The sequence below is a fragment of the Homo sapiens genome, chromosome 3 (assembly GCF_000001405.40).
Source record: "Homo sapiens chromosome 3, GRCh38.p14 Primary Assembly".
In the NCBI taxonomy this organism is placed as follows: Eukaryota; Metazoa; Chordata; class Mammalia; order Primates; family Hominidae; genus Homo; species Homo sapiens.
The window spans coordinates 88,259,954-88,280,258 of NC_000003.12; the positions used below are offsets into that span (position 1 = coordinate 88,259,954).

Sequence of the window (20,305 nt, forward strand, 5' to 3'; positions counted from 1 at the left end):
GTGCACAATGTGCAGGTTTGTTACATATGTATACATGTGTCACGTTGGTGTACTGCACCCATTAACTCATCATTTACATTAGGTATATCTCCTAATGCTATCCCTCCCCCCTCCCCCAACCCCATGACAGGCCCCGGTGTGTGATGTTCCTCTTCCTGTGTCCAAGTGTTCTCATTGTTCAATTCACACCTATGAGTGAGAACATGCGGTGTTTGGTTTTCTGTCCTTGCAATAATTTGCTGAGAATGATGGCTTCCAGCTTAATCCATGTTGCTACAAAGGACATGAACTCATCCTTTTTTATGGCTGCATAGTATTCCATGGTGTATATGTGACACATTTTCTTAATCCAGTCTATCATTGATGGACATTTGGGTTGGTTCCAAGTCTTTGCTATTGTGAATAGTGCCGCAATAAACATACATGTGCATGTGCCTTTATAGCAGCATGATTTATAATCCTTTGGGTATATACCCAGTAATGGGATGGCTGAGTCAAATGGTATTTCTAGTTCTAGATCCTTGAAGAATTGCCACATTGTCTTCCACAATGGTTGAACTAGTTTACAGTCCCACCAACAGTGTAACAGTGTTCCTATTTCTCCACATCCTCTCTAGCACCTGTTGTTTCCTGACTTTTTAATGATCATCATTCTAACTGGTGTGAGATGGTATCTCATTGTGGTTTTGATTTGCATTTCTCTGATGGCCAGTGATGATGAGCATTTTTTCCTGTGTCTTTTGGCTGCATAAATGTCTTCTTTTGAGAAGTGTCTGTTCATGTCCTTTGTCCACTTTTTGATGGGGTTGTTTTTTTCTTGTAAATTTGTTTGAGTTCTTTGTAGGTTCTGGATATTAGCCCTTTGTCAGATGAGTAGATTGCAAAAATTTTCTCCCATTTTGTAGGTTGCCTGTTCACTCCGATGTTAGTTTCTTTTGCTGCGCAGAAGCTCTTGAGTTTAATTAGATCTCATTTGTCAATTTTGGCTTTTGTTGCCATTGCTTTTGGTGTTTTAGACATGAAGTCCTTGCCCATGCCTCTGTCCTGAATGGTATTGCCTAGGTTTTCTTCTAGGGCTTTTATGGTTTTAGGCCTTTCTTTCAAAAGATTTCAATAATTATTATTAGACTACTGGAATAATTTCCACTTTAGGTAGTTTTTTAAACTTTTGCCGAGCTATTAGTTGATAATGATCTTATGATTTCTTAAATCACAAGATAACTTATTGTCTTCTGGTACGTGCAATGCTTATTCAAAATATTTAAAAATAAGATTTAGCCACTTTTATAAATAGTAATTTTTGTATGTAATGGATCTTATTTGTTGTAGAACATCAAATATTATATATGTTTTCTTCCTCTCTCCATTCCAATATTTCCTTCTGTTAACCAGAGGTATGAATGTTTAAAGTAAAATAATATTACTTATGTTTTCTGTGTCCTTGCAGAACGGTGACTAATTGACAATTGTTACATTAAGCACCACCTATCTCAAAATAACTTATTTTGCAAGTGATTTCTTTGGTTCTCAGAATCTTAGAAATCAGAAGTGGAATTCTATTAGGAGATTTATTTTTATTTCTCTTGTAACACAAGGTGAAACCTCTGGATATGTCTTGAATCAGAAAGCACAAGGCATTTACGGACAGAAGCTAGAAATTAATAGGGACATGTTTTTTGGCTAAATATTTATTTATTAAATATATAAATATATATTTGTTAAATATATAATATATATTATTTATTAAATATATAAATATATATTTATTAAATATATAATATATATTATTTATTAAATATATAAATATATATTTATTAAATATATAATATATATTATTTAATAAATATATAATATATATTATTTATTGAATATATAAATATATATTTATTAAATATATAATATATATTATTTATTAAATATATAAATATATATTTATTAAATGTATAATATATATTATTTATTAAATATATAAATATATATTTATTAAATATATAATATATATTATTTATTAAATATATAATATATATTATTTATTAAATATATAAATATATATTTAATAAATATATAATATATATTATTTATTAAATATATAATAAGTATATATTAAATATTTATTTACAATTCTATCAGCGTTTAGGCTTGTATGGCTAGTTCTAAAATTATCTACTTCTATATAATCAAAATAATAAACTCCATGTGGACTTTTAAGTTGTCATACACAGTTTAGATTTTGTAGTGTCCATAGATCACCATTCTCAGTTGTTACCCCGTGTTATTTCATCGTGATACCTCACTTATAGGAAAAAAATTGAGTAAACTGTCTTCTGAAGATTATAATAGAAAAATTAGTTTCCTTATTCTCATTTTAATTTTAGAAATTTCTCATATTCTAGGCATTATAATTTATCTTTTATATTTGTTTAGATTTGTTTTTAAGTGATACAATTATTGATTTACATTTTAAACCAATATATGCTTTAAATGAACACAAGTCTAAATTACAAGCAATTAGATTTTAAGTTGTTTATTTAAACACTTGATTTACTTATAATAGAAAAATTGATTATTTAAAAATATTCTGCTTTTTAGGGCCAGGCATGGTGCCTCCCGCCTGTAATCCCAGCACTTTGGGAGGCTGCGGTGGGTGGGTTGCCTGAGCCCAGGAGTTTGAGACTAGCCTGGGCAACATAGTGAAACCCCGACTCTACAAAAAATACAAGAGTTAGCCAGGCATGGTGGCATGTGCCTGTGGTCCCAGCTTCTCAGGAGGCTGAAGTGGAAGGCTCGCTTGAGCCTGGGAGGTTGAGGCTGCAGTGAGCTGTGTTTGCACTACTGCACTCTAGCCTTGGTGACAAAGTGAGACACTGCCTCAAAAGAAAAATATCTGCTTTTTAAAAGGTGGTGTTGTATCAATGGGGACATAAAATCACTATACTTTTTGTTTATTCCTGCAAATATTCATAGGAAGTAAAAGAGAGCAGAACACATTAATATAACTTCAGATATACGGTGGACATTGCTTTGTTGAATTGAGTTCAGGGGTTGCCGATGTCTGAATTACTCTGTAAAAAGACAGAATTTGTTTTTTCTTCTGAAAGGGTGGGCACAGGGAAAAGGAGGAAGGGGAAGAGGAAAGAGTAGACAGAGTAGACAGTAAAAAGGAGGGCTGAGCCACCTGATGGGGTGTGTGAAGTGTTCTTAGGCTCTAACATTGAATTTAAATTTTTTTTTGCTGCTTTCAAGTATAACTTCTTCCTCTCTCCAAGATTTTTATTAAAGTCTGCAACAACAAAGGACTTTTGTGTGTGAGTGTAGATCAAGGAGAAGGGTTAGAGGTGAAGTCATAGTAATTTAAATTTAACATTCATTTCCTCATTCTTTTTTAGTAATTAGAATAAAATATTATTCTCATTTTACCTCTTAAATTTTGAAATAAACATTAATATTACAGTATTCACAAATAGAACACAGCAATCTTATATCATTTTCAAGTGACACAAGGGTCGTTTTAAGTCTCCAAGGAATGCATGGCAATGGCAATGTTCATGCAGCTGGTCATCAGCACCCGGCACGGTGGTGTGAGTCAAAGCCTGGAGTAGTGTTAACAGCTCTGAGTGCACATTTACACAACACCATAATGATGGGAAAGTATGATCCATTGGCAATTCACAGGCTGAGTTTACGTCACCAACTGATTTATAGTATGCACTATTATTACCCTGTGTCACAGAATATAGAAGTCAGGCACCCATTTGCATATAGTGGGTATGCAACCATTTGACACCTCATCAAGCATTTGAAAAGAAAAGAGGATTTCAAGTGATATTAATGGTATTAGCGGTAATACTAGGTTGCACAGACTCTTCTTTTATTTGGTTTTTAATGTTTTAACCAGCAATTGTAATCTCTCAACACTGGGGCTTAGTTGTAGTGAGGTCACTGTGTGTCCTTCCTGTAATGTGGTACAGCGTTCATCTCAATTGCTACAGTGTCGTAAAGTTATAATGGGATTATTCTTTCACATGCACAATCCCTGGATTTCAAAATGCAAATCTCAGGAGATTACAGTTAAACACTGTGTTATTGACCTAATTTCTCCGATGGTTTAAATTCATTTATATTTTTATCTGCAAAATTTTATGCTTATAATTGTAAGCTTATTCAGTATGCTCAATATTCTAGTTCATGACAACTCAGCTCCATACCATCCCATTAGATGACCTAGCGGGCTGAATGAATAATTACAGAATCAGTTACATGAATGCCTGCATATACATGTATGTGTACGTATTTAAAACAATAAATATAAATGCTAGTTTTAATTTACATTATATTGAATAATTTCCTGATAGATTAGTTTTCTACTATCTGTGTCATGTCATATCATGGTTTAAGATAACTGAAAATGTTTTTAGGATTGTTGAGAGAAGAGAAAACAGATAGAAATACTTTAGAATAAAATGCTCAATTTTACCATAATATTTAGTACCCGTACAATCTTATGAAGAGATTCATACTACCTACAGTATAAATTATTGGATAATTTATTTCCATTTTTTTGCTAACCAAATTCCCACAACTATGATGTAAAAGATATATATGACTTATTATTTCTGAAATCAAAGTTCATTTTTCTTTCCATTAAGGCAACCATGAAATTTTGTTGATAATAAGATTGCGTTAGTTTAGATTTATTTGTTGCTATAATTTAGTTTTAGAAAGCATTGACTAGGAAAAATTATAATCTGTTAGAGAAGCATATATTTACTTTTTGATGTATTAAAATGAACACTGATTTGCTCAATAAGAATTTGTGTAAATAGTGTTATATTTGGTGTCCAATATGTTCACTTGTATACGCACAAAGAGGGCTCACCGTGGAAAGATCTGTGGGGAGGTTAGATTGGTATCCTCGTCTCCTGAGAACCATTTTACCCCCCACATGCTCCATTCCTCATGCTTCGTTGCTATCTCTTCTTTCAAATATGTTAGCGGTAAAATGGCTTAAGTGAGATAGACAGGTATATTCTGAAAGAAATATATATTTATTATTTACTTAATGCTATGTAAATATTGTAAAATGAAGGAGAGCACATTTTCATGATTCTGGAAATTTTTGTTAGTTTTAAATATATATATATGTTTGAAAACCAATGTCCGTGGCAATCTTGGTTGGCAAATACATTTCTATCTCCAACCCCTTTCTTATGCATCCATTAGAAATCAGAAAAATCAGGCCAGGCATGGTGGTTCACGCCTGTAATCCCAGCACTTTGGGAGGCTGAGATGGGTGGATCACCTGAGGTCAGGAGTTCGAGGCCAGCCTGGCCAACGTAGTGAGACCCTGTCTCTACTAAAAATACAAAAAATTAGCTGGGCGTGGTGGAAGACACCTGAAATCCCAGCTACTTGGGAGGCTGGGGCAGGAGAATCGCTTGAACCCAGGAGGCAGGGGTTGCAACGAGCCGAGATTGCACCACTGTACTCCAGCTTGGGCAACAAAAGTGAAACTCCCTTAAAAAAAAAAAAAAAAGGAATCAGAAAAAATCTTAATTCTCACTTTCCTAGCTTCCCCTATGATCAAGAGTCACTATGGGACACAGTTCACAGATGCAAGTACAGGTATTCTGGGAAAGATTTTACTGGTGGCACACCTTCCTTGTTCTTTTTGTTGATACTGATATAATGTTTGGTACTTTGGAAGCTATTTTGTGAACCTGTGGTAGTAAATATGAGGAAAAGATCCAGAGTACTAGGAATCCAACCCCAGCAGCCAATTCCCTGTACCTGTGTGCCCCAATATGGTAGTCACTAGCTCCAGCTGGCTAATGAGCCCTTCAAGTCCAGCTAGTCTGAATGGGGATGGGCTGCAGGTGTAAAATGTGCACTGAATTTTAAAGCCTTAGTATGAAAAAAAGGAAGAAAATTACCTTAATAATTTTAATATCGATTGCATGTTGAAATGATCATATTTGGATATATTAGGTTAAATAAAAGGTATTATTAAAACTAATTTTATCTGTTTCCTTTACTTTTTTTAAATGTGTCTGCTAGAATGTTTTCTATATATGGCCTGTGCTTGTTTCTCACATTATATTTCTATTGGGCAGCACTTCTCTCCACTTCTTTTTGTGTGAAAAAAGCTATATTTAGGCCAATAAAGTTTGGGCTGGTGGTTATGGCTGAAAGCTTCATGGAAGTCATTGCTTAGTCTTTCCTGTACAAAAGAACAGATGCTGTAGTTGTAATCAAACCCTACTATAGGCTTTACTTTTGTGCTCATCCAATACTACCTTCTGGTTGTTATTAGTTTTAAATGTTCATATGTTTTAAACAGTAAAATGAAGTAGACGTGGGTGCACATCTAGGCTGAACTTCTTATCGCCCATGGATATTAAGCAAGTTATTTAACCTCCCGGTGCCTCAGTTCCCCTAGTTTTAAAACAAACAAGATAATGCCTAACCTAGCTTATAAGACTGTGTAAGAATTAAGTGATAGAGTTTATATGAAGTGGGTAACTTGTATGCTTTGTACATAGTTGTTGCTTAAGGTGTGGTAGGTCTTATTAGAAAAGGGTAAATCTCAGGGTCTCTAGCAGTATTTGAGTCAATAAAGGAGTGGGTGGAGGGAAAGTTGTTAAGAAAATGTGTAGCTGGTCATTGTATTGAGTGGTGAAAACTTGATGTCAGGCTCAGGAGGGCTCTGGGTGGGAGACAAGGCTTGGTCCTCCTTGAGGGTCCTGCCAGAAGCCCCTCTCCTACTCTTAGCTATCGCCTTTTCCATTTTCTCTTTGCAAGGCCAGTGAAGTTTGGGATCCAGCCCGCATAAAAAATTGGGAATAGTTGTCGGGCGCGGTGGCTCACGCCTGTAATCCCAGCACTTTGGGAGGCCGAGGCGGGCAGATCAGAAGGTCAGGAGATAGAGACCATCCTGGCTAACACGGTTAAACCCCGTCTCTACTAAAAAATACAAAAAATTAGCCGGGCGTGGTGGCTGGCGCCCGTAGTCCCAGCTGCTCCGGAGGTTGAGGCGGGAGAATGGCGTGAACCCGGGAGGCGGAGCTTGCAGTGAGCCGAGGTCGCGCCACTGCACTCCAGTCTGGGCGAGAGAGCGAGACTCCGTCTCAAAAAAAAAGAAAAAAAAAAAAAAATGGGAAAGCAGTGCAGCCCTAGTCAGGAAAGGAAAAGCAGTGTGATGATGAACTTACAGAAAAGAAGCTTGTTTGACTTAGGGAATATGTACAATTTGTTTTTTGTTTATTTTTCTGAGTTTGCCCATGTTGGCACACATGTTTAGGAAGATAGTTTTGTATTATCTTAAATGTTTTAAAGGAGAAAGGGAAAGATAAGAGTAGTAAGACCAGAGTAGTAAATAGTATTAATGCTGATATGGGGGAGATGTAGGCCTCCGGCAGGTGCTCTTGAGAGAAAAGGGAAATCCACAGAAATACAACCATAATCATCCATGCATTTTCCCCGCCACACCACACACTACATGTGGCCCCCAAAACATCCAACGGCTAGCAGTATCACTGCTGAGATACATGATTTAATAAAAGAGTCAGTGATATTGCAGTGAATATTTCAAATGCGACATTTTAAGAAGAGCACAATTGAGAAAGAGAGGAACTTAAAACGGATTAAAATTTAAGCAATTCCCAATCAAATGGAAGTGTTCTGGGAAGAGTGCCAGAGAGTATTGTTGAACTGGTTTTAATAAAAACATTCTAAATTTATCCAGCTGAAATTATTTACAATTTTTTGAAATTACGTATGTGGATACGTTGTATGGACACTTAAAATACAATATTTATTCTTTTTAAAAAACCAAAACCTGCTCTTGTTGGCTGAGGATTCAGGGGATATAGTATGTTCAGAATGCAGAATCCCTGAATTTTAAGATGGATCCAAATCTTAGAGGTCAGTAAAGTGCAATTCTCTTTCTTGTTGGTAGGAAAATGCATCTGAGGAAACTGAGGCTTATCATCAGTAAGCAAGTTCTGCATCAGGGCAGAACATAGCTTTGCTCGTGCCCGAGTGAGGGCCTCTTTTCACAACACACAGCTGCCTTACAGGTAAACACTGTGACAAGCTGCCAGGGGCCTGCTCTCTCTAAGAACAGATAGGCTCTTCTGTTAACCTTACTGGGTAACAGCTGTGCCTTTTCACAAGTGCCTAGGGGTAAAATTTAGATTGTCTAAAGTAGTCATAAACGTGGAAGATATCTGAAACATTCTCATGGGCTGGAGAAGTAGCTTGGCATTATCTATAATGCAGAGGTCATGTCTGTGGAAATAGACCGAAGGCTGTACAAGCTTCAAGTCCATTCCACATGCTATCTTGGTAAATGTCTGATTGATGTTTAAAAATAAAAACAAAAATAGTCCACTGTCCAAGGAACAACAACAACAATAAAAAGATACTGCCTCCTCTCCCCACTCCTTTTATATAGAGAAAAGTTGGATTGCAAAGAAAGATGCAGTACAGCAAGAACACGATGTGTGTTCACTCTAGGTAAAGCATTCCATGTGTGTGGCTGGCACTCCTGGCTTCTCAAACACTCCTTTCAGCCCGTTTTGCAGTAACCCCTAAGTCTGGCTAGCACCCATCCACCAGATTGCAGCCAGGAAAGGAAACCAGAGGCAGCTGCCTGCTGAGATCTCAGTCCACCCATTTTCCGTTACAGAAAGGTTGTGAAGTCCTACTTCAGAGGTGCTCGGAGCTGCATCTCTTGCACCTGCAAATGGCTGTGGGCATTGAATTGCTCTCACAGTGAGGAGTGGGATGGCAGAGGGGAGCTTGTTGGCCCCAGAGCGGGGAAGAATTGATTTTGGTTGCTGCTGAAAAGCTGGTAGTAGAAGCACTGGGGAAAAATTGCAAACTATTAAAGGACATTAAAGAGGTAGGGTACCAAACAGGAACTATTGGCTTATTTAAATACCAAATAAACAATTGAAAGTCCAGCAAAATATAAGAGGAGTATAAATTATAGATCTCATTTCTAATCTCAGGAAAACAGATCCTCTTCTATTCTGGAAAACTAAGAATCTAAGCCTTCTTCCCTGACAACCAAAACGAGTTTTCTTTAAAGACCTAAGACCTAAGACTGTGTGTGTGTGTGTGTGTGTGTGTGTGTGTCTGCAGGTGAACATGTGATAAATGCATCTGTGAGTGTGAGAATGTGTGTATGAGTCTGTGCGCATCTATGTGGATATGAGTATATGTGAGTGTATGTATGTACAGGTTTGTGTGTGTCTATAAGTGTGTATGTGAGTGTATATATGAGAGAATGTGTATGTAAATGTGTGATTGTGAGGATGTGTGTACAAGTTGTGTGTGCATGTGTTTATATGTGCATATATGACTATGTGTTCAGTGTGAGAATGAGTGTGTAAGTGTGTGAGTGTGAGAATGTGTGTACAAGTTTGTGTGCATACTTGTGTATATGAATGTGTGTATGTTTGTGTGCGTAAGTTTGTGCATACATGTGTATATGAGTGTGTGTATGTGTGTAAAGAAGACTCACAAGACAAAAGGGCTTGCTTTCCTTAGCCAGTGCACATGCTGAATACATATGCCAAGACATTCCAAAGTGGCTTTTGTTTAAAAAGAAATGTGAAGAAAGGAATCAGTATAAGAAGAAGAGTTAGTGGCTGAAGTCTTATTACCATAATTATAGATAACGAGATTTCTGCCTACTCATATTAGTTTTTTTTCACCTTTGTGTATAGGGATGGTCTTTAGTTTGTTTTCATATGTCTGATGGTAACTAATGTAATACCTTATGTTATAAATACTTGGTCAAATCAATAAAATATACTTCATCCAATACCATGCTCTCATATGCTGAGAGTCCATAGTTATAGGACCTGGTATTGGACTTCTTTTTCACCCCGTGGTTTGGTCTCTAGGTGGAGGTCCTTTCAATGTGGAAACTGAAATCTCTTAATTCTGGAAAATTTATTGACTTACCTTTTGAACCTCATTTTCTCCAATTTTTTATTTTCTCTTTCTAGAGCTCTTGTTATTTATTGAATTCCCCATTGATATGGTTTGGCTGTGTACCCACCCAAATCTCATCTTGAACTCTAGTTCCCATAATCCCCACATGTCTTGGGAAGGACCTGGTGCGAAGTAATTGAATCATGGGGGCAGTTACCTCCATGCTGTTCTTGTGATAGTGAGTGAGTTCTCACAAGAACTGATGGTTTTACAAGGGGCTTTCCCCCCACCTCGTTCTGCACTTCTTGCTACTGCCATGTGAAGAAGGATGTGTTTGTGTCCCCTTCTGCTATAATTATAAGTTTCCTGAGTGCCTCCAGCCATCCTGAACTGTGAGTCAATTAAACCTTTTTCCTTTAGAAATTAACCAGTCTTGGGTATGTGTTTACTAGCAGCGTGAGCACAGACTAATACATCCATGTTGATATTCTAGTGTATGTACCTCCTGTGTCTTATTTCCCCCCACCACATTTTCTGAGAGATCTCTGAAACTTTATGAATGCATTTGACTATTTCATTTATTATATCCTATTTTTTTATGAGAGTTTATTTTTTAAAATTTGGTTTTATTTTTTCTGTAATGTTTTTCTCCTGTTTCAGCGATTGCCTCTTCGATCTCTGAGGATGTTAAATATAGTTTATTTAAGTTTTTTCTGCTTTCTGTTTGTTTCCAATTTTTTTCTTTTCTTTCATTTGTTAAAGAGTTTTCTCTAATGTTGGGTGATTTCTTGCTGTCTGCTACTATTTGAAAGTTAGGTAGTAAAAAGCTGATTAGAAATTCTTTCTCTGGTGTGAATGTGCTAGGATAATTTATTTAGTCTACAGTGCGCTCAGCCTGTACTGTTTCACTGAACTATTTCATTATTAGAAGGTTTTTATTTTATTTTTTCTTTTGAGATAGTTTCCTGAGGGAGGAGTTCTCCAGCCTTCTATCTGAGGTGTATTAGTCTGGCTTTTAGTGTTCTCAGTGCAAGAACAAAGTGATTTGGGAGTCGTCCCTTCATATGTAGACATTCACTGAAGCACCTAGGTTTCCGTGTGGTAGCCCACCCTCAGCTCTACCCACAGTCCCAGGGGCTAGGTTTCAGCTTCTTCAGAGGAGACATCTCTTGACTTCTATGGCGGAAGAAAGTCAGTCACCCAGTTGCATATGGGGGATAGGGAGGTCTGATGGGTGCAGCAAACCCTCCCTCCTTTCCTTGAGAGGTATCCAGTGCCTCCAGTTCCTGGGATATCCTGGGGTTCTGTAAAGTCAATCAGCTGGCAACTGAGACCACATCCATTGCAGACTTTGGTTTCTCTTTCTCGCTTTCTGGTGTAGGAAATCAATCTATTCTTACATTTCCAAATTTTTCTAGTTGACTTTTCTCCAATTTTCTTTTCCTTTGGGTTACCACTCCCTTGCCATGCTTATGACACTTTATATCTGCTCTTTTAGTAAAATATGGTTAGTGAACAAAGTAAATGTGTCTTTCATCAGCCATGTTTTACTGGAATACATCCCCAAAATAGAAAGTCTGGGTCAAGACCGTGAATATATTTAAAACTGTTGATTTATATTGGCATTTAAAAAAAGCCTCATTTACTTTGTTAATAATGTTTTTAATAGTTTTGCCTATAGGCTCACTTTATTACGGAATCATACAGTATATATACTCTGTGTTTGGTTTGTTAATTTTAATATTATGTTTCTGAGATAAATCCATATGGTTGTGTTTGTCAATTGTTTATTCTCAAGGATATATAGTATTATATTATGGGAGAACAACTTATTCATTAATCAAATTTTTGATGACCATTTTGTAGTTTTGTGTCTCAGGATATTAAAAATATTGATGCTATTAATTTTTTAAATTTTATTTATGAAATTTAAAATTGTATAACTGTTCTTTTAGTAAAATGTGGTAAAGGAACAAGCACATGTGCCTTCCATCAGCCATGTTGTACTGGAATAGATCCCAAAAATATAAAGTCCGAGTCAAATACATAAATATATTTAAAACTGTTGATACATAATGGCATTTTTGAAAAACATTTATTTTGTAACAGTTTTGTCGAAGTGTAATTCATATCCAACAAACTGTACATATTTAAGGTGCACAATTTCATAAGTTTTGACATGTACATGCTTGTGAAATGATCATTACGGTGAAAAAATAATCATACCCATCAATTCCAAAAGTTTTCTTGTACCCCGAGAGCATTGTATTTATAGATGATATTGGAGATAAATAACATCTTAACACTGTTGAGCCATCTGAACTATGAACATGATATTTCAGATCTTTAATTTCTCTTGGCAATATTTTGAAATTTGTAATACACAGGACTTGAACTTTTGTTTGGGTCGGATTTATCCCGAGGTATATCAGATTTGCTGAGACTATTATAAATGGTATTTTTTATTTCAATTTTTTATTGTTCATTTCTAGTGTACAGAAATACAACTGATTTCTCCACATCAATGTATGCTGCACCATTGCTTAACTTATTTACTAGTTCTTGTTGATTCCATCAGATTTTCTACGTAAACATCTAGGTTGTTTTTTAATAAAAGAAATTTTACTTGTATTTTTTCAGCCTGGATACCTGCTATTTCCTTATCTGGCCTAATTACGTTGGTCAAAATATCCAGCACAATAATGAATAGAAATGTGGAAGTGAATGTTCTTGTCTTGTTCCCGATCTTAAGAGGAAAGCATTCCATGTGTCACCATTAAGTATGATGTTAGCTTACGGCTTAACATGGATGTCTTTTATCAAACTGAAGAAATTCTCTTTTATTATGAGTTTGCCAAGAGTTGTCTTTTCACTTTTAGTTAAGAATGGATATTGGATTATATAAAATGCTATTTTTGTGTTATAGAGTTGATCATATGGATTTTCTTTTTTAAGTTTGTTAACATGGTGAATTAAGTTGATTAGTTTTCAAATATTAAAACTGCCTTGCATTCCTGGGATAAACCCCACTTGGATATAACGTATTATCCTTTTTATGTATTGTTGCAATCTATTTGCTAGCATTTTGTGTAGAAATTTTGTATTTGTGTTCATGTGGGATATTGATTTGTAGCTTTCTTTTCTTGTAATGCATTTGCCTGGTTTTAGTATCAGAGTGATACTGGCTTCACAGTAAGAATTGGGAAGAATTCACCCTTTTATAATTTCCTGAAAGAATTGGTATAGAATTGGAATGATTGCTTCCTTGATGTTTGATAGGTATCACCAGTACAGCCAGTGGGCCTGAAATTGTCTTTGTGGGAGGATTTTTAACTACTTATCTAATGTATGTCATAGACATAGTGTTATTCAGGTTATCTATTTCTTTTTGACTAAGCTTTGATAGTTTTTATTAATTCAGGAATTTGTCAATTTCATTTAAGTTGTCAAATTTATAGGCAGAAATTCATTTATAATAACCCCCGTTATCATTTTAATATCTGTAGAAACTGTAGTGATGTCATCTGTCTCATTCTTAATATTGGTTTGTGTATTTCTCTTTTTCCCTCCCAATATGTCTATCTGAGTTATAAAAATTTTATTGATCACATCAAAGAATCAGCTTTTGATTTCTTTCTTTCTTTCTTTTTTTTTTTTTCAGACCAAGTCTGTCACCCAGGCTGGAGTGCAGTGGCACGTTCGCAATCATGGCTCACTGCAACCTCCGGGTCCCGGGTTCAAGTGATTCTCATGCCTCAGCCACCCGAATAGCTGGGATTACAGGCGTGCTATACCACGCCTGGCTAATTTTTGTAGTTGTAGTAGAGATGGGGTCTCGCCATATTGGCCAGGCTAGTTTTGAGGCCTAGGTTCAAGTGATCTGCCTGCCTCGGCTTCCCAGAGTGCTGGGATTACAGGCGTGAGCCACCGTGCCTGGCCTCATTATTTTTTCTCTACTGATTTTTCTCCTTTATTATTTTATTGGCTTCTGCTCTATTATTATTTCCTTTCTCCTTACTTTGGATTTAATTTGTTCTTCTGTTTATAGGTCTTAAGGTGGAAGCTAAATTCATCAATTCAAGACTATTCATCATCTTTTCTAATACAGGCATTTAATGCTGAAAATTTCCCCCTAACTATTGCTTTGGTGACATCTCACAAATTTTAATTTCAACTTTCCACTTCACTATTTTTAAATATTTAAATTCTTTAAGCATTTTATGGTAGAAAAATATCTTGCATTTGTCTAAAACTTTACACTTCTCAGGATGTAAAAAATTACATTTTATTCTCAAAATAAGTGAAAATTGGCACTTTTATTCCCAGTTGAACAGTCAGTCAGCAAATATTTGTTAAATGCCCTACTCTGTGGTAGACTCTAGGGATGTGGTAGCTGCAAGACAATATTTCCTCTGTCAAGGAGTTTATTTATTTTAGTGGAATAAGTATTTTAAAAACGAGATGCAGAGACACCATGAAGTTAAGTGGCTTGCTGATCACACAGTGGTATGTGCTAACTCCTTAGTCTCTTAACTCTAAGATCAGGGTCCCTTGTCTTATACCACAGTATTTCAGAATTATTTTTTAATTAAATGTAAAAATATAAGAGTATTACTAAAACTTATGTGCATTATTAAAGCAAAGTAATATAAAGAATCCTCAATAAAACCACAGGCTACTGTTTACTCAGCTGATGCAAAGTTAACTAATTCTCTTATTACAATGTTGATGAGTGTTTATACTACCTGACTGGGAAGAAAACTATCCCACCAACACACATTTATTTTGGGCAAATAGCTTTACTTTTATGGTTCTTAATTTACACTTATAATAATTGAGATTAGATCAAATGATGTAATTCATATTTCTTCTGATTTTTAGATACTAAATTAAAATTTTAATATTTCTTAAGAATTCAATGTGGTGCTTTACTCTTTATTGGAGTTTCAAAAATAAAATAAGATCTAATACTTGCACCAAAATAATCTAGCCATGAAGGCAAGACATACACATGAAATATTTTTAAATGTGAATATGAGTGATACATACGATAAGATTCTGGAACAATTGGGGTTAATTTTGCCTCCCTGGGAGACATTTGAAAATCATATCTGCAGATACTTTTGGTGATCACTATTTGGGGGTGACTCCCATTGATATCTAGTGGGTAGAGGCTAAGAATGTTGCCAACCATCCTGCAAGGCACAGGAAAGCCCCCACAAAAAAATTGCAAACACAAAATTACCTGGACCAAAATGTCAATAATGTTGAGACTGAGAAACACTGCTCTAAAAATTCAGAGATAAAAAACACTATGGCAAGAAAAGATCGGGAAAGTTTTATTGAGGAACTGTTTTTCCAGGAACCCCTGGCATGGTTACATCTGGAGAACCACAGCATGAACAAGATTATGGAGAAAGGAATCAGCGTTGTTTATATGGGGAACCATGAGAAACCCCGTGCAGCTGGAGTGGCGGCCTCGCATATCAAATAGACAGTGAGTTCGGTGCTATATTGTGGAGAACCTCAAATGCCAGAATAAAGACTTCTTACTTTATTTATTAGACATTGGGGAGCCATTTAATGGGGATCCTTTAGAGTAAGCAGTGTTTTAGTTAGATTAGTCAGGCAGTGGTCTGAGCATTGTTGTAGTGGAGAGGCTGGAAGACAATCAGGAGGTTATTATAACAATCCAACCTTGAGGTATTGAGTATTAATTCAAGCAGAACTTTACTTAACCATGATGCTTGTACCACAAATCCTTGTCTAAATGCAATTACAGATTAGGGTAAAGCCATCCAGCAACAGTAGCACCAAATCATGTTTCACACAGTGCATAAACAATGAGTACTAGCTTATAAATTACATGGATTAGTTAAGCTGTGCAATCTTGCTCATGTGTTTATATTGTGTTTTTGATATGTTTCAAAAAATGTCATTTTACTTCACAAACTGAAGCAATAAAAATATCACCTGCTAACATGTTAGCTTTTATCACTTCAATGCTGGGTCCTTTCTGTCTCTGGTTCCTATGTCCTCTCTAGAGCAGTATTCCATAAATGCTGAGTTCCATGAATCACAGTGACAAATACATTACTTTGTAAGTTTGCTGTCATGATTGTTTCCACTTGCCTAGGCAAAAATAAAAAAAAAAAAACCACCCAAAAGTTAACCTTTCAGGTTTTCAGTGGAAGACGAAGTGAAAATATTGGGAAGTTATTTTGATGCTTATAAATTTAATTATTGACTTAGTAAGATTGACACAAGCAACAATATTTTTCCTTCTTCACTCTCTTGTTTTCCACGGCTCTGATTGAATAACTAACCCCAGTTATATCACTGTAATTAATGCATTAAAGCTTATATTTGAACCAGAGAATTGATCATTTGAAGCCTGGAAGAAGCAGTCTTGTGACCATCACGGCAAAAGTAACTTGTTCTTCCCAGTTACAGTGGAACAACTACCTTGCTATACCCTGTTTGTAGTCAAATCTCAATAGATATCAAAGGTATAGATTATCAACCTAAATAAAAAACAGAGAGAGGCTAAAATATATTTATTTGGGAATAGAGCATTGCAGTGAAAATATGTATGCCATAGTGAACTATGTGTATACTCAGGGATAAAAGGTTTTTTTTTATTTTTTAATGAGAAGGATTACATAACTGTTTTGAAATAATTATTCTTGGCTACACAGATTAATAATTAAGTCTCAGATTGGACAGACAGTTGCTAGGCAGAAGTTTTTGCAGAAGCATTTTTTGTGTAAGATTGTGATGGCCTTTGTGCAAGGTTGTGGTTATTGTATAGTCTTTTTCGCTGTGAGGCATAGAAACGTGAGAACCCCCTTTTCCTGGCTTTATCTGTCAGGGTTTTCTTAGCATTCATGACTCCATTTTGAATCTGACAACTTTCACAGAATAAACAAATGAATGGATGGAAGATAATATAACATGGCAAAGATGCTAGAATTGATTCCTGGCCTTGTCAACCATTAGCTATTGGGAGGAATAGATTTTTTTTTAAAATAGAAAGAAAAAGTAAATACTCTCTTTCTTTGGTATTAGAAAAGATGTTCTAAGAAATTTTTAATTTAGAAAACCGTCTGCTTTCAAACACTGGCTATTTTGGAGATATTCATGACTGATTTAGATATAAGTTTAAATCACAGAGAATAAAATGAATAGCTGACTTAGTCATTTGAATTAAAACTTTCTTTCATGATGAATAAGGCTTTTGAAAAATTAAATAAACTAAAATTAACTTTTCTATGAAGAACGTATTACAATAATCTTCCCTTATCCATAGATCCTCTCTCTGCAGTCTCAGTTACCTGTGGTCAACTAGGATCTGAAAATATTAAATAGAAAATTTCAGAAATACAAATTCATAAATTTTAAATTGTGTGTTATTCTGTGGCATGTGATAAAATTTCATACTGTCTTGCTTCATCCTGCCCAGAAAACAAATCTTCCCTTTGTCCAGCATTGCCACACTGTATAGTCCACCCTCCTGTTGTGAGCCATCTTACTTATCAGATCGACTAAGGTGGAGGTATTACAATGCTTGTGTTCAAATCACCTTTATTTTACTAAATAATGCTCCGAAAAGCAAGAGTAATTATCTTAACAATTCAGATATGCAAAAGAGAAGCCATAAAGTGCTTCCTTTAAGTAACATGGTGAAAGTTCTTGACTTAATAAAGAAAGAAAAATAATGGTGTGCTGGGCTTGCTAAGATCTAAGGTAAGAACAAATCTATCTGTGGAGAAGAAAAAAGAAATACATGCTTGTTTTTCTGTCATACCTCAAACTTTATAGTACTTATAGGTTTTGGTGCTATATGTGGTTTGTGGCATCCACTTGGGTCTTGGAACATATTCTCTGTGAATCAGGGGAGACTACTGTATTGAAATACTTTAACTAAACAGTATGCACTTGACATGTAAACAAGTTTCAGGAAAACTGACTTCCAGTGGTTATTCTGCTGGTAAGAATAAAGTCCCATTCAGTAGGCCATTCTGTTGATGTGAACACAGTCTTACTCTGTGATAGGCCTTGTGCCCAGGAGGGAGAAGACAAACTAACCAACAACTTGAGGGAAGATAAGAGACACAAGTGTCAATGCGCATGTGCACTGAAAGGCCATCATTAGGGCTAACTGATTTGAAGATGCTGCTCAAAATATTCCTTTATTTGGTTTCTATGTGCCTGCAATGCGGTTACTTTAGAGCCTATTCATAAAAGAGGTGAGCTGAACAGCAGATAATTTCCTTAGCACCAAGAAGTATTGGAGGTGAAAACACACTCAGAACGCACTCGTCTGCGGTCATTCACTATGGCATTAAAGTTGCCTGGGAGTTGGCCGCCTATCATTGAGGCAAAGATTTCCTTGGATTATTGTTGTGGGTAGCTGAAAAGGCCTGAAACTGTCCTTGGGTATGATGGACACCTTTGAACACACACAACCATTTTTTAGGCCACTTCTTGATAGGAATTGCCTGCCTCCCATCCAGCGATGTCCTTCATGCCAAAGTCCTGCCTCTTAGAGAGGAGCTAGTGTTGCCTCACTTATACCAATCACAGTGCACTATTCTGCCACTGTGGGCCTTGGCTCAAGGAGATGCCACCTTATTTTAAAGATTTCGTTCCAGACTTCTGATAAGCTACCTCAAAACTTCTAAAATGAAGGAAAGTTTTAAGTCAAAATATTGGCTATTTGAATGATCTAAGGCATCTGCTTTATACTGTGGTCCACCATGCAAGGCTGATTTGGGAGGCACAGTTGTAGTTAGACCACAGTGGAGATTGGTTTGCTCATTCCTCAGCTGAAATGTAAAGCTTGAATTAAAGGTGTTTTCACTTGGAAATCGCCTTAGAATGGTTTTGTTTCTCTTAGACACACAGAGGCTCAACGTTTTCACACTGGGAGAAAATAGTGGCTATTATAAAAATAAATGCATGCTCATAGGAATGTCATAATTAATCTTAGGGATATGTGGCTTTTTTTTTAAGAATGTCATTGACAAGCCTTCTTGGTTATAAAAAAGTAGGCCTTACAATTTAGTCTGGAGTTGAGAATAACATAAATGTGAGATAAATTATGCTGTACAATTAAGTAGGAGAAGTTGGGGACTCTAATAGGGCATCTGGACAGGGTAATAGGTTGAATGGGTCTAGAAGCGGGGAGCAGAGCAGAGACAGGTATTGCAACAGAAGGTGAGAGTGGGACCCAACGCATGTGAGAGTGGGCCCTAATACTAGACAGGGGCCAAAGAAGACAGATGACTGATAAGAAATTCCCTGTAGTAGTGATAACTAAGGAACATTGAAAGACAAATGATGTCTAAACATTCCTTTTAAAGTTGTCTCATTTTGTCCTGTGTCATAATCTCCCTACACTTTTATTAAAAATAGATATAATCGGCCGGGCGCAGTGGCTCATGCCTGTAATCCCAGCACTTTGGGAGGCCGAGGTGGGCAGATCACGAGGTCAGGAGATCGAGACCATCCTGGCTAACACGGTGAAACCTCGTCTCTACTAAAAATACAAAAAATTAGCCGGGTGTGGTGGCGGGCGCCTGTAGTCCCAGCTACTCGGGAGGCTGAGGCAGGAGAATGGAGTGAACCCGGGAGGTGGAGCTTGCAGTGAGCCGAGATCGCGCCACTGTACTCCAGCCTGGGCAACAGGGCGAGACTCCGTCTCAAAAAAAAAAAAAAAAAGATATAATTAACTTGAGTCACTGATGTGCTGGGAGATGCAGGAGGAGTTGGAGCTCTGTCTTCACTTGGGCTATGTAGAGTGTACAGAAGCTGCAGTGTGCAAGATGATGGGACTGAGACCTAAACGCGGCCTCGAAATTCTGAGCTGGAATCAAAAGTTTCAGGAAGAGATAGTGGATATCCCACTGCAGTGTACAAAGGAGAGCTCTTGTTATTTATATAGATATGAAACGGAAAGAAGACCCTTTTTTTTTTTTTAATTTTTGAGATGGAGTCTCGCTGTGTCACCCAGGCTGGAGTGCAGTGGCGTGATCTTGGCTCACTGCAACCTCTGTCTCCTGGGTTCAAGCAATTCACCTGCCTCAACCTCCTGAGTAGCTGGGACTACAGGTGCGTGCCATCACGTGTGGCTTTTTTCGGTATTTTTTGCAGAGATGGAGTTTCATCATGCTGGCCAGACTGGTCTCGAACTCCTGTCTTCAAGAGATCTACCTGCCTTGGCCTCCCAAAGTGTTGGGATTACAGGCGGAGCCACTGCGCCCAGACATGAAAGATGACTCTTGAAGACTGCAAGGTTTGGGGAGACTTGCTCACATTAGACATAAACCCAAGAGGAGAGAGGACAAGGAAAGGGGAAAAT

At 36.6% G+C, this 20,305-nt stretch overlaps 1 long non-coding RNA gene across 1 annotated transcript in view; it reads left to right on the forward strand.

Moving 5' to 3' along the window:
- The first annotated feature begins 15,306 nt into the window (after positions 1-15,306).
- LOC105377202 (uncharacterized) overlaps positions 15,307-20,305 on the forward strand; it is a 51,278-nt gene continuing 46,279 nt past the window's right edge. Inside the window, exon 1 of the long non-coding RNA XR_001740804.1 lies at positions 15,307-15,439. This is a non-coding gene — a long non-coding RNA (uncharacterized LOC105377202). The remainder of the gene's footprint in view (positions 15,440-20,305) is intronic.